The sequence below is a fragment of the Homo sapiens genome, chromosome 18, assembly GCF_000001405.40.
Source record: "Homo sapiens chromosome 18, GRCh38.p14 Primary Assembly".
Classification (NCBI taxonomy): Eukaryota; Metazoa; Chordata; class Mammalia; order Primates; family Hominidae; genus Homo; species Homo sapiens.
In genome coordinates, this window is record NC_000018.10 from 26439152 (window position 1) to 26453164 (window position 14013).

At 40.8% G+C, this 14013-nt stretch overlaps 1 long non-coding RNA gene across 1 annotated transcript, besides 1 other annotated feature; it reads right to left on the reverse strand.

Annotated features, from left to right (window-relative positions):
* Nucleotides 2260–2460: a silencer, noted in NCBI's record as "peak3087 fragment used in MPRA reporter construct". NCBI's record gives its function as "represses an SCP1 promoter by STARR-seq MPRAs in K562 erythroleukemia cells {active_cell/tissue: K562}" and the evidence as "EXISTENCE:reporter gene assay evidence [ECO:0000049][PMID:32103011]".
* On the reverse strand, nucleotides 11245–13855 carry LOC124904274 (uncharacterized). The gene is made up of 2 exons (XR_007066322.1): nucleotides 13497–13855; nucleotides 11245–11476 (listed from the first exon to the last, which is right to left on the reverse strand). It is a non-coding gene; the product is annotated as an uncharacterized LOC124904274 (long non-coding RNA).

The window sequence follows — 14013 nt, forward strand, 5'->3', positions numbered from 1 at the left end:
TTGCCCGTGAACTTGGCAGCCCACAGAGCTAAGGCTGATAGTTCCTCTTTTTGACAGCGCAGCCAGACAGAGATGAGTCTCCTAGACTCAATTATATATTTGCATGTAAGAGACCTGACACAGGTATTCCCTCTGGGCCGATCAATGAGGGTGGTGGTGTCCTGGGTAAATGTAGCTTCTCCATTTATGGTGCAGTGGAGGAAAGGGTGTATGTGTGTGTGTGTGTTCTGTTCAGAAAGTTGGGCAGGGGATAGGGAACTGTTCTCAGATGCAGTGTTGTCTAAGCTGACACCCAAGTTTCTTGATAAATTATGCCCTGAATGTTTATGAATAGTGTATCAAAGAAAGCAGATGCCCAGGCCCTTCCAAAGAAGTCATTTCCTTCTTGATGGACATACTAAAGGGATAGAAAGGGAGGATGCAGGGATTTGTAATCAGGAGGATCTGAGTGGAAAAGCCATAAGTGCGCCAGCTTCCTCCTCTTTTTCTTGAGGGGCTAGTGCCAAGTGCAGGGCTGGCTCACAGTGGGTGCTCAGCAGCTCTGAATGCATGAATGAATGAATGAACGAATGAATGAGTGATAGCCTAGTCCTGTGGGTTCACAGCTGTTGGGAACACCCGTACCCAAGTAATGCTGGTGAAGAGGCTGGCATTATCCTAGAGGGAGAACTTTGATGGTGTGCTTCAAGTCAACAGTGATGTCTGTGGCTCGGATGAAGATGGACAGGCCATGCTCAGAGAATTCTCAGATGACTCAAGACTTGAAGGAGTGAATAGCTTCCTGGAGGACAGATGGAAGAACCCCAAAGCATCCAAAACACTAATCCTGTGAAATTTCATGGGGAATAAGGGCCAGTTCTTTCTTTGGTTATAAATGATCAATTGCTCAAGGGATGGGGGATATCTGGCTTGATCAAACCCAAGGTCCGGGTGGTGTCTGCTTCTTAGGTTGCACTAAGTTGAGTACAGTGTCCAGATCAAGGGCATTTTAGTTGAAGAAAATGGGGCTGCTTAATCTGGTAAAGAAAGCAGTAAGGACTGATTCAATGCCTTTCTCCTTAGTGGAGGACAGTGGACCCAGGGGAAGAGCTGTTAGGGCAGCAAAGGCACCCAGCGTGACAGTAGCAAGCTCCTTGTCAAGTCAGTGATGGCTGACCTGGTGAAGGGTGATGCCTTCCCACATTCTTTCTTGTTTGCTCCCCTTAACAGTCTTCAGGTGCAGTTGAGGCAGATGGCAGTGTGCTCTCATTAGCTAAAGAAGCTGGGCCGCTAAAGAGTGTTTAAGTGACCCGCTCAATGTCACATAGCTAAGCTGGAACCCAGGCATTCTGGGTTCCAGGCTACCCATGATAAGCATTGAAGGCGAAGCTGGAAGACCGTGGTGGGGTCTTCCGTGGGATGCCTTCCATGGGAGGGAGAAGAGCTACCTTGAAAGATGCCTAGCTCCCAGTGTCTGTGACTTTGACAAGGGCAGAATGTCAGCCTCTGCTGCAAACTGTCTGTGTCCCTGACTACAGACGATGAGAGGTGGTGAGCAGTTAACATTTTTCCTACCTGTATGCCCTGCTCCATTTCTGAATGAGTTATGTCATTTATTCAACAGGATAATTTAATGATGTAGCCACTTCCGCCGTTGGAACAGTATGTTCTGATACTCATGGCTGTACTTCAAGAGTTGTAACTTCCGGATTAATTGCAGAATCAAGCTTTCATTTATCTGAGATTTCTTAATCAGTGAGAGTGACAAATCAGACACACGTTTAATGTGGGCTAAAAAGTGCTCAGCATTATAACAACTAAATGCAACGTGTGATACTGGACTGGGTCGAGTCAGCAAACAAAACAAAAGAGCTTTTAAAAGAATTACTGGGCTCACGCCTGTAATCCCAACACTGGGAGGCTGAGGCGGGTGGATCACTTGAGGTCAGGAGTTTGAGACCAGCCTGGCCAACATGGCGAAACCCCGTCTCTACTAAAAATACAAAAATTAGCCAGGTGTGATGGTGCCTGTCTGCAGTCCTAGCTACTTGGGAGTCTAGGGGGGTGAGAATCGCTTGAACCTGGGAGACGGATGTTGCAGTGAGCCAAGATCGTGCGGCTGCACTCCAGCCTGGGTGACAGAGTGAGACTCCATCTCAAAAAAAAAAAAAAATTATTGGGACAGTTGGGGAAATTTGAATATTGACTGTGTGTGTGTGTGTGTGTGTGTGTGTGTGTGTGTGTGTATTATCACACTGAGAGTTAAGAGCATGTTCTTGTTCTTAGGCGATTTCGTGCTGAAGTACTTGGGGTGATTGCTGCGCTGCCTGCAATTTACTTTCAAATAGCTCAGCAGAAACGATACGCAGGGACAAGGAGAGAGCAGACCTGGTGAAACGTTAACAACTGATGAATCCAAGTGAAGAGTGCATGCCCTTACTTGTACTGTTGTTTCAACTTTTCTGCAGGTTTGAATATTTTAAAATGAAAGCTGGGGGGAAATGGTTAACACTGAAATAAAGGCAAATTTCAGGAAATAGTTTTACTGTATAGTAAGTCTAAAAATGAAAAGCGCCAGTGGTAAGTAGGCAAGTTGAGGCAAACCATACTGCCTCTTTTCTTTTCCTAGCAGTGGAAAGCCAGAAAGCTACAGAATGAAACAAAGGCTATTTTGTGTGGTAGATGAACTCATTTATCAGCTGCATTCAGACTAGAAAGGCAGAGGGAGAGATCAGTCTGTTGAAGTTTCTTTTCTCCACCCCATCCCATCACTCTGATTAACCCTGTCGTTATTTCCCAGTGCTTTTCAAGGAGGCAGCCCTATCCAAAACTTGGATATAGCCAGGATTCAAGCATGCAGCCAGGCGTAAAACATCTTTGAAATATGAGCCATAATGACTTGTTTTTCTGGCAAATGCTTTTTGTTTGAAGGAAGTACAGAATTTAAGAATCTATTTTTAAAAAAATGTTAATGTTGAAAAGTCAGATAATTTACCAAATAAAAAAGTAATGTTTGCTTTTCTAATTCATTACAAATTTATTACAGTTCATCTAAGAGCAACAAAATATAAAAATCTTTACAAATAAGTGCTGCCGGAAAGTGTTTGGGTGGTCAGCGTTTAATTTGGAAGGTTATTCAGCTTGTTAGAGACCCATTTATGGATCAAGGAAAACCTTATATAAGCCCAACCCGATTGTCCATCTGGTATGCCTCACTCAACTCCCAGGAGTCAACTTGGTGTGGACTTGATAGTTGGCCAGATCTGGGTTAGAATCTGGACTCCAGTAATTTACTTATTCCTGATATTGACTATCTGTGTCCTCTTGCTTTTCTCCCCAGTTAGTTTGGTTAGAGGTTTATCAGTATTATTAATTTTCTCAATAACCCAGCTTTTCATTTTATTGGTTTTCTCTATTATTTTTTCTTTTTCTATTCTATTGATTTCTATTCTGATCTTTATTATTTTTGTTCTTTTGCTTACTTTGGATTTTCTTTGTTCTTCTTTTTCTAGTTTCTTAAGGTGGAAGCCAGAGTTGTTGATTTGAAAGTTTTCTTCTTTCCTCATGTAGATGTTTAGTGCTATAAATTTCCCCCTAAGTACTGCTTCAGTAGAATCCCACACATTTTGGTATGTTATATTTGCATTTTCATTCAGTTCAAATACTTTCTAATTGCCCTTTGATTTCTTCTTCGATGGGCTATTTAAAAACATATTTAATTTTCAAATATTTGTGGATTTTCCAGAGTTCTTTAATTCCATTGTGGTTAGATAATTTCTTCTTTATAACTTCTTTTAAATCCATTGAGATTTGTTTTATGTTTTTAGAGTGTTCAAGTCTGTATTTTTACTGAATTTCTGTCTATTTTTCCTATCACTTCTTGACAGAATGGTGTTCAGATCTCTGACTATACATGTGATTTGCCTATATTTACCTGTAGTTGATACCAATTATTAGCTTCTATATTCTAAAGTCCTGTTATTATGTGAAATAAAAAGGCTAGAAGTATGTCCTGTTGACCCCTTTATCGTATGAAATGATCTTTTTATTTCTGGTAATACTCTTTGCTCTGAAGTCCACTTTGCCTGATATTAATATAGCAACTCCAGCTTTCTTTAGATTAGTGTTAGTTTGGGATATGTTTTTCTATGCTCTTACTTTTAACCTATTTTTTAAAAAAATTGAAAATTGATTTCTTTTAGGCAGCATATAGTTGGGTGTCATATTTTTAGCCAGCCTGATGATCTTGTCTCAATCGAGGTGTTAGGCCATTTACATTTAATGTGGTTATTGATATGGTTTTGTTTAATTATATCCTTTTGCTAATTTTTACTTTTCCCATCTGCACTTTGTTTTGTTTTTCTTCCTTTTCTGCCTTCTTTGGATAAAATGAGTACTTTAAAAAATAATTTCACTGTAGTGGCTTCTGTTGCATTATTTTAGTAGTTGCAAGGTTTATAGTATTATCTTTAACTTATCACAGTCTTATTTGTCAAATGATTTGATATCACTTAACATATAGGCATCTTATAATTTCATTTCTCCCTTCCAATATTGTTGTTATGAATGTTACTTCTACATAAGCTGTAGACCCACGATGTGTTATTATTTTTCCTTTAAACAGTTATTTTTATTAAAATGTTAACCATAATGAATAAAGCCCTTTATGTTTACCCACGTAGTTATCATTTTTGGTGCCCTCCATTCTTTGTATAGAAGCTGATTTCCAATTGCCATCATTTTCCTTCTGCCTGAGGGACTTCTTTTAGCATTTTTTTGTAGAGAATTCTGCTGGTGATATATTCTGTTAGATTTTGTCTTCCCAAAAAAGTTTTTATTTTACCATTGTTTTTGAAAGGTAATTTTACTTTGTTGTTCCAATGTCTCTGGCTTGCATGTTTCTCATAAGAAATCTGCCATCATCCTTATCTTTCCACCTTTGTCCATAAAGTATCTTCTCCCTCCCCCACTAGCAGCTTTTAAGATTTTTTTTTTCCTTATCATTGGTTTTAAGCAATTTGTTTATGATGTGTCTTGGTGTGTTTTTCTTTATGCTTCTTTTGCAGAGTTCATTAAGGTTCTTGGATCTGTGGGTTTATACTGTAGTTGTCATCAAATTTGGAAAATAGCCATTATTTCTTCAAATATTTTTCCATTTGCCCCCTTGACCCCTTGAGGGAGATTGCAATTACATGTGTATTAGGCTGCTTGAAGTTACTCCACAGTTCAATATGCTCTGTTCATTTTGTTTCAGTATTTTAAAGACAAGACTCTATGTTTCATCTTAGGAAATTTCTATTGCTATTTAATATATCTTCAAGTTCACTAATTTTTTGTAATCTGCTGCTAATCCCATCAGGTGTGTGTTTCAGACATCATAATTTTTATTTCTAGAAATTTGATATTGTTCTTTATATTTTCCATGTCACCATTTAATACGTTAAGTCTTTAGCTCCTTGAACATGTAGAATAAAGTTTATTAACTGTTTTAGTGTTTTTGTCTACTGATTGTGTAATGTCTCATCATTTCTAGGTTGGTTTATTTATTTTTATTTTTATTATTTTTTTTGAGACAAAGTCTTGCTCTGTTGCCCAGGCTGGAGTGTAGTGGCATGATCTTAGCTCACTGCAACCTCCTCCTCCTGGGTTCAAGCAATTCTCCTGCCTCAGCCTCCTGAGTAGCTGGGATTACAGACACACACCATCATGTCCAGCTAATTTTTGTATTTTTAGTAGAGATAGAGTTTTACCGTGTTGGCCAGGCTGGTCTTGAACTCCTGGCCTTAAGTGATCCACCCACCTTGGCCTCCCAAAGTGCTGGGATTACAGGCATGAGCCACCTGTGTCGGCCTCTGGGTTGGTTTAGATTTATTTATTTTATTTTATTTTTTACTATGAGTTATATTTTCCTGCTTCTTTGAATGCCTGGTAATTTTAAAAATTAGAGACCAGTTATTGTGAATTTTACCTTATTGGGTGCTGAATATTTGTGTATCTCTATCAATATTTTTTGACTTTGTTTTAGAATGAAGTAGAGTTAATTGGAAACACTTTGATCCTTTTGGGATTTGCTTTTAAGCTTTGTTAGGTAAGATCTGAGCTGTGTTTAGTCTAGGGCTCATTTCCCTCCAGCACTCTGGCATTCTGAGGACTCTAACCAATGCCCCATTCATTATGAGGCTTTCCACTCTGTCTGCTGAGAGCAGGAACTGTTTCTGGTCCTGGGTGGGCTATGGGGATTGCTTTCTCTTATTCTTCTATGTAGCTTTTCCCCTAGGCTTGAGTGATTTCTTCCAACACATGCACTGATCAGTACTCAGCTGAATAGTCTCTTCTGTTCTTCAGTCTTCTCTTTTTTGCACGTATCTCTCCCCTGTCCATTGCTCTGCCCTATGAATTCTAGCTGCCTTGGCTTCCCTGTACCACCGTCTCCATCTCTTCAACTCAGGCAAAGCATTAGCCTCTGAATGGGTTACCCCTCCCTGCAACATGGCCTGGAAACTTCCTCAAGGCAGTTAGCCAGGGCAATCATAGGGCTCACCTTGTTTGCTTTCCACCTCTCAGGGATCACTGTCCTCTGCTGCCTCATATTCAATGTGTTGAAAATCATTGTTTCATATATGCTGTCCAGTTTGTGAGTTGTTTCAGGAGGGAGAGTAATCTGTTACTTCATATTGGCCAAATGTGGAACACTTGAATGACTTTAGATTAGTCAAAATCCAAAGTAAACATCAAAAGAACCAAAGTGCTTGAGGGATTTAATATTACTAGTAATTGATTCTCTATTGTATGTCAGTTATTATACTTTACATTAATTCTTATTTAATTGAGTGCTTATGAATAGAAATAAGTTCTCTAAGAGTTGGAGTAAGGAACATGAAACCCATACTCTGCCTAGTTCTACAAATAATAGACTTCAGTTGTGCATTTCATCTGTCATCGACAATCATTTAGTTAGCACTTACTAGGTGCTAGGACATAAATAAGTCAGATTTCTTCCACTGAAGATCTTAAGGATGGCCATTAGATTAGTAAACATATACATGTAGATATTTCAATATTAAGTTGTAAGTATGATAATAAAAGTATAAATCGGGTGCTTTAGGACCATAGAGATGGGTCACCCATCTGAGGAGCACATGAAAAAGTGGTGATGGGTAAAGAGGGTCTTGAAGGATGAGTGGCAAGTGATTAAACAAATAACAAGATAAATGTATTACCAAGCAGGGAGACTCGGAACAATATGACATACAGGGCATGGTGGCTCATGCCTGTAATTTCATCATTTTGGGAGGCTGAGGCAGGAGGAGCGCTTAAATCCAGGAGTTTGAGACCAGCCTGGGCAACATAGTGAGACCTCATTTCTTTCTTTTCTTTTCTTTTTTTTTTTTTTTTTTTGAGACGGAGTCTTGTTCTGTTGCCAGGCTGGAGTGCAGTGGTGTAATCCTGGCTCACTGCAACCTCCGCCTCCTGGGTTCAAGCGATTCTCCTGCCTCAGCCTCCTGAGTAGCTGAGATTACAGGCACGCGTCACCACGCCCGGCTAATTTTTGTATTTTTAGTAGAGATGGGGTTTCACCATATTAGCCAGGGTGGTCTTGATCTCTTGACCTTGTGATCCACCCGCCTTGGCCTCCCAAAGTGCTGGGATTACAGGCATGAGCCACCACACCTGGCAATGAGACCCCATTTCTACACACACACACACACACACACACACACACATACACAAAATTAGCCAAGCGTGGTGGCGGGTGCCTAAAGTCCTAGCTACTCAGAGGCTGAGGTGGGAGGATCACTTGAACCTGGGAGGTCAAGGCTGCAGGGAACCATGATTGTGCTACTGCTGCACTCCAGTTTGGGCAACAGAGTGAGACCCTGTCTCCAAAACAAACAAACAAGACAAAACAAAAAACAGCAAACAAAAAAACCCGAATATGACACTAAAAGTATTTTGTAGGAGGCCAGGGGTAGCCCCAGGTGAGGCTGAGGGGTAAGTAGAGTTAGATTAAGGGGGCTTGGATGCCACACTAAGGAGAGAAGATGATTCTAAAAACAACAAGGAAACACCGTCAGGCTTTTAACAGGGGAGTAACCAGGCTGCAATGTGGAGGATGGATTTTAAGGGGTGACAATCTCAATTCTCAAGAGAAAAACCAATTAAGATCCTTTGGAAATGGTCCATATAGGAGGAATTGATAATATGACATTGGTAAGTGGAGATAGGGGTGGAAAGGAAAAGACCAATTTAAGAAATATTTAGATGATACGTTCTGTAGAACTTGGTGACCATGTAAGTGTGGGGATTGCAGAAATGGCTCCCTGATGTGAACAGAAAGGAGCATCCTGAACTGAGATAGGAAATCTAAAAGGAGAAAGGAAAGGCCCAGGGGCCAAAATAAGCTCGGTTCTTGATAGTCCAATGGGAATGCTTGGCAGATCCTACATCTATCATTGCTTATGACAAAATATATTGAATCAATGGGTTTACATGGCTTACCCTCCTGCCTGACTAAAAGTCAAATGGCAAGGTCATGCCTTATTCATCTTGTATCCTCAGGGCTGGCTACCCCACCCGAGCTCTGGGAGACGTCTGCCTGCAGCACAGGTGACAGGAAAGCCATCGATGGTTGAGATCTCGCAGGGAGAGTAGAGGAGACTGAGAAAAGCAGTGACATGCAAGAAAAAGACATTCACACCTGGGGTGAGAATTTGAGAAGTAAGTGGCCTGGTGGCCTTGCATTGTCTGTGGCTCTTCCATGGGCCCTGTGAAAGGCCACCTCAATGCAGGCCTGCAGCCCTGTCAGTGTCCAGGCAAGTCATTCCCTTTGTATGCTTTTAATATCTACATGAAGGCTCCTAGTGATTGTGCAGAAGTCATCTCCATCCATCACTTGACTAACTTTGGAAGAAAAGTGGGGAGTGGATGGTGGAGGAGGGGTGTTATTGCAGACTGGACAGAGGCAGGAAGCTATTGGAAAGAAGAATTTGGGGTGTGTGTGTAGTTTTTCTACCATTCCTTTCCTACCTAGAGGAAAATAACTGATTTTGATATTGTAATGGCAGTAGGGAAAAGATTATACAGGTCAAAATTCTGTTTTATAAACACATCTACCATGCTTAAACTAAGAGCTATAGCTGAATTATTTTCATGAATATGCATTCTACTTAGAATTTCAAATTTTCTAGTATTTATGTATTTAAGAGACCAAACATTTAAGAATATGACTTATAGAAGAACAACATCTTAAATAATTTTAAAAAATTTCAAATAAAGAGCAATAATGGATGAACATTTAAATTTTAGGGGCACATAAGCCATCTGCCTCCCACCATTGCCCCTTCCCAAGCCAGTTTCCCATTACTGCTGATTAACTTAAAAACCCAGCTGCGTCAGATTGCTCAAGTTGCAGACCTTTAGATGATCCTGTAAGGCCTCCTCAAACTGGATTTAACCAACTGATCTTGCTTCTTTTCCAACGAGTGTGATCCTCTGTGACAAGGATTTGATCTTCAGCTTTTGGGACAGGCTTTCCGAGTCAAGTTCCAAAGTTTGAATGGAACGCACAATACATGTTTCTGTGGCTTTTTCAGTCCCGATCAACAGCATAATTTAATACTTGTACTATCTGTTCCCTTTTCTGACAAGCACAATCTGATAAACAGATTGGGAGGAGCAGTGCAGCACTGTGTGATTCACACTGGGAATGAGGGGAAAAGGAGAGACGGAGAGAGAATGAACCTGGAGTCCCATGAAATGCAGTCAGATTGAGCTCTCTGACGCGAATGTTTTAGCGCATGCAAGGGAGCTTTGTGGTCAGTGGTTAGGGTCATCGATTTACATTCCCCTTCAAATGCGGAAGTTTTGAAATCATTAAGTTTCAAAGAAACTCACCTAGATTAAAATACAAGGGAAAAGACGGACCTATACACCTACAGTAGGCTATTGTTACAGGTGGTAGATGCTATGGTAATTACTTCCTGTGCTGGTTTCTGTTCACTTAAGACTCTGACAGCTTTTTAAGAGGAGGTATAAGAATTCTGTAGCTGGTGGGCTATTTCCACAGGATTGGGCAGTTTTCTGCCTAATTAGGAAAGGATGAAGGCCCTTGGATTAAATGTCACTTAAGTACTCCCTGCAACGCCCCCAACACACATCCCCTACCTCCTCCATTAACTCCATTTGGAAGTACTCAGTCTGAACTTCAAAAGAATAGCAGATGCCAACTATTGTTTACATCAGTGAAATCATAAAAAGGCACATCACAAAAGCACACTCAGAAGATCCTTATTTACTGTTCTTAGGCTACGCTAGGGAGCACAATGACGTTACCCAGTGTTTTTAATACTTGTCTGAAGAGTCACTGTATTGGGCATTATTAAAATATGGAGTCCCAGCCTCTTCACTTACAAAGTGGAATTCAGACTGGGCATGCTGGCTCACGCCTGTAATCCCAGCACTTTGGGAGGCCGTGGTGGGCACATCATATGAGGGCAGAAGTTCGAGACCAGCCTGGCCAACATGGCAAAAACCCGTCTAAAAATACAAAAAAATTAGCTGGGCATGGTGGCGGGCGCTTGTAATCCCAGCTACTCAGGAGGCTGAGGCAGGAGAATCACTTGAACCCAGGAGGCGGAGGTTGTAGTGAGCTGAGATCGCGCCACTGCACTCCAGCCTGGGTGACAGAGTGAGATTCCATCTCAAAAAAAAAGTGGAATTCAGAAATCTATGGGGAGATGGGGTGGCGGGGTGGTGGTGGGCTGGAATTATAACTTAAAAACATGCCTTTTGTGTGTCTTAAGAACAGGCAAGTTTGGAAATCACTGATAGAACCTATGATCAACTTTTATGGAAAAGAGCTGCCCGACAGTGACAAAGTCAGACACAATGCATATTCTCAGGGTTTTAGTCCTATATATGAATATTAGTCGGTCACAAATGTTATTAGTAATTCCTACCAGTAGATTCCTACTAATAGTTACTGCAATGACATTTTTGTCTAGTGTCTTACAATGGAGCACACTGCAGCTGCCAATGACAGCAAGCTCATTTTTTGCATGGGTTGGAAAAGGAGAAAGAGTTGAGTTCAAAGTATTATTCAGACCTGGTGTATGTGTATGTGAATAAGTGTTGTTCTTTGTTATCAGAAGATATTATCAAATCAAACTAAAAATTTGCATCAAATTTTCATTTTTTATAAAGTATGTCCTCGATCAACTTAGTTTTTGTGATCTCACATGCAATCCCACCCAAATGGAATTTTTCTAGAGTGTCTAAAATTCTTTTATTTCATAACTCTCAGAGTTGCAAAATATAAACAGGATATTTATAGTCTCATAGTGTCATCCCACAGGTAATCATTAATTACAAAAAGAAAAAGCTACCTTTACACTGGATAATTTGGTGAATGTTACTTTAACCAAGAGGCCAAAACTGCCATTACTAATATGGGTCAAACTGAGTCTTGTGATATAATTCACTGAGGACATGATATCACCTATGTCTGCAGATGTCTTGTTTGGGCTGTACATTTGAAAAAAAAATGAGTTAGCTCCAATATTTACACATCTAGAGATTTCACACAAAAGTCTGGATTCCCAGGTTTTCTAGAAAAATGAGATGTTTAAGTAGAAGGACGCCGTTCTCCTATAGCTGCAACCTGCTGGGGTTGAGTAGGGGCTGCTCCTTCAAATGCTCCAGTTTGGCCATCTCTTACTGATTCATGTAACTTGCCCAGCCCTTGGAGACATCTGAGTTTGCTGCGCTAACACTAAGGTGATGTCTTATTTTCTCATACAACTTTATGTCATCAGCTCTTAGCCTGCTTCATTCATCATGAATGGATGAATGGGGAAAACAGCCACTTAACTGCCCCTCCCACCAACAGACTGTTCCCGGACAGTCAAGCCTGCAGACTCCCTAAATGAGTATCTGCCCACCTTCTGTGATTCTCCAATGGTTCCTAAATAAAGTCCAAATCCTTGTCTGGCAGTCAAGATCAGCTCCCCTCTCACACTCCCAAAATCCAATTCCACCTTCCTTTTCTAGCCCATGCTTCCCTCGTCCCACACCATGTGCTGACCCTGCCTTGTGCTTCTCCAGCTCAGAGCCTCTGCCCCACCCCCAAATACTCCTTCCTTGCAAAGCCTACCCATCTTGCAAGCGCCACCTCCCCAAAGGATGGTTTTTCTAATTTCCCAGACTAGATATGATCCCATATGATTGGGCATTTCTAGAATCCTTGGTTTGTAAATATGAAATGACACATATTCCATTGTGCCTTGGACAGTAGTTAGGTATGCACATACCTTAATTCACCTCTAGATGTGCAGAGAGCCCCGCTCCTCTCACTCCCCGGAAACCCACAGCGGAAACCATGTCATGGTCGCCCTAGTATCAGCAAAGCCAAGTGCCCAACATACTGAAGAAGATGGTCAAAATACTTAACTATAGGAGTGCATTTCCGTTATAAGGAGAAAATGCTATTAACTAATAATCTACTCCTTCCTCCTATTGCAACATAAAAACTTACTTTTTCTTAAATAGTTGTTTTGGGTCCTCTTTATAAAACTTAATCAAACATTAGCCTTTATCATATCCTTTATTTGATGTCTTAGGTTCTTAGTTACTTTAACCAAGAAATAGAGATGGATAATACAACCTCCAGTGTGGTCATAAGGATTGAATGAGTTAACAGGTAAAGTGCTCAGTATGGGTCTGGCACACAGCAAACACTAAATGGATGACTATTATTATTATGGAGAAACTCCTCATCTAATATTTGGAACCAATTTATAAGTGGCTTGCCTTATTCTAGTTTTCTAAAATACTTCTTAGAAAAGAGCAGGTCAAATAGTGTAGCTTGTCTGCCCTAGACTAAAGAAATATATTTTGCTAAAGAAAAAAAAAAAGATTATTTCAACTATCAAAGATTCAGGCAACAGTGGCTTTGAGATAGTCTTGCTCTGTCGCCTGGGCCGGAGTGCAGCAGTGCGATCTTGGCTCACTGCAACCTCCACCTCCTGGGTTCAAATGATTCTCCTACCTCAGCCTCTCAAGTAGCTGGGACTACAGGCACGTGCCACCACGCCCAGCTAATTTGTGTATTTTTAGTAGAGACAGGGTTTCACCCTGTTGGTCAGGATGGTCTCGATCTCTTGACCTCATGATCCACCCACCTCGGCCTCCCAAAGTGCTGGGATTACAGGCGTGAGCCACCGTGCACGGCCAACAGTGGCTTTTTAAAAAGCAAACTTTTATAGCTACCAAGGTAATGATTGATTCAGGAAAGGATTACCAATGGATGTTAAAACCATCTGGTGAGAGTGTGTTGAGAAACAGGATATTTATAGTCTCATAGTGTCATCCCACAGGTAATCATTAATTACAAAAAGAAAAAGCTACCTTTACACTGGATAATTTGGTGAATGTTACTTTAACCAAGAGGCCAAAACTGCCATTACTAATATGGGTCAAACTGAGTCTTGTGATATAATTCACTGAGGACATGATATCACCTATGTAGTATTCTTGAAACCAAAAAACCTGACTCTACCAGTGAGGGACAAATCAGACAAATCCAAATTGTGCAACAATCTACAAAACAGTTGACCTAGACTCTTCCAATAAGTCGATGTCATGGAAAGACCCCTCCGCCTCCAAAAAAAAAAGGAAGGTGTGGGGGGTATTATTAATAAATGCAATGCATAATCCTTGATCAGATCCTCTAGGTGAAAAGCACAGCTATAAAGATCCTTTTGGGGACACTGGCGAAGTTTGAATATGAACTTTATATTGAATAATAAAAAGTAGTGAAAAATAAGATTGTGATTCATTCACGCCTGTAATCCCAGCACTTTGGGAGGCCAACGGGGGTGGATCACTTGAGGTCAGGAGTTCAAGATCAAGCCTGGCCAACATGGTGAAACCCGTCTCTACCAAAAATAATAATAATAATAATAATAATAATAATTAGCTGGGTGTGGTGGCACATGCCTGTAGTCCCAGCTATTTGGGAGGCTGAGGTGGGAGAAT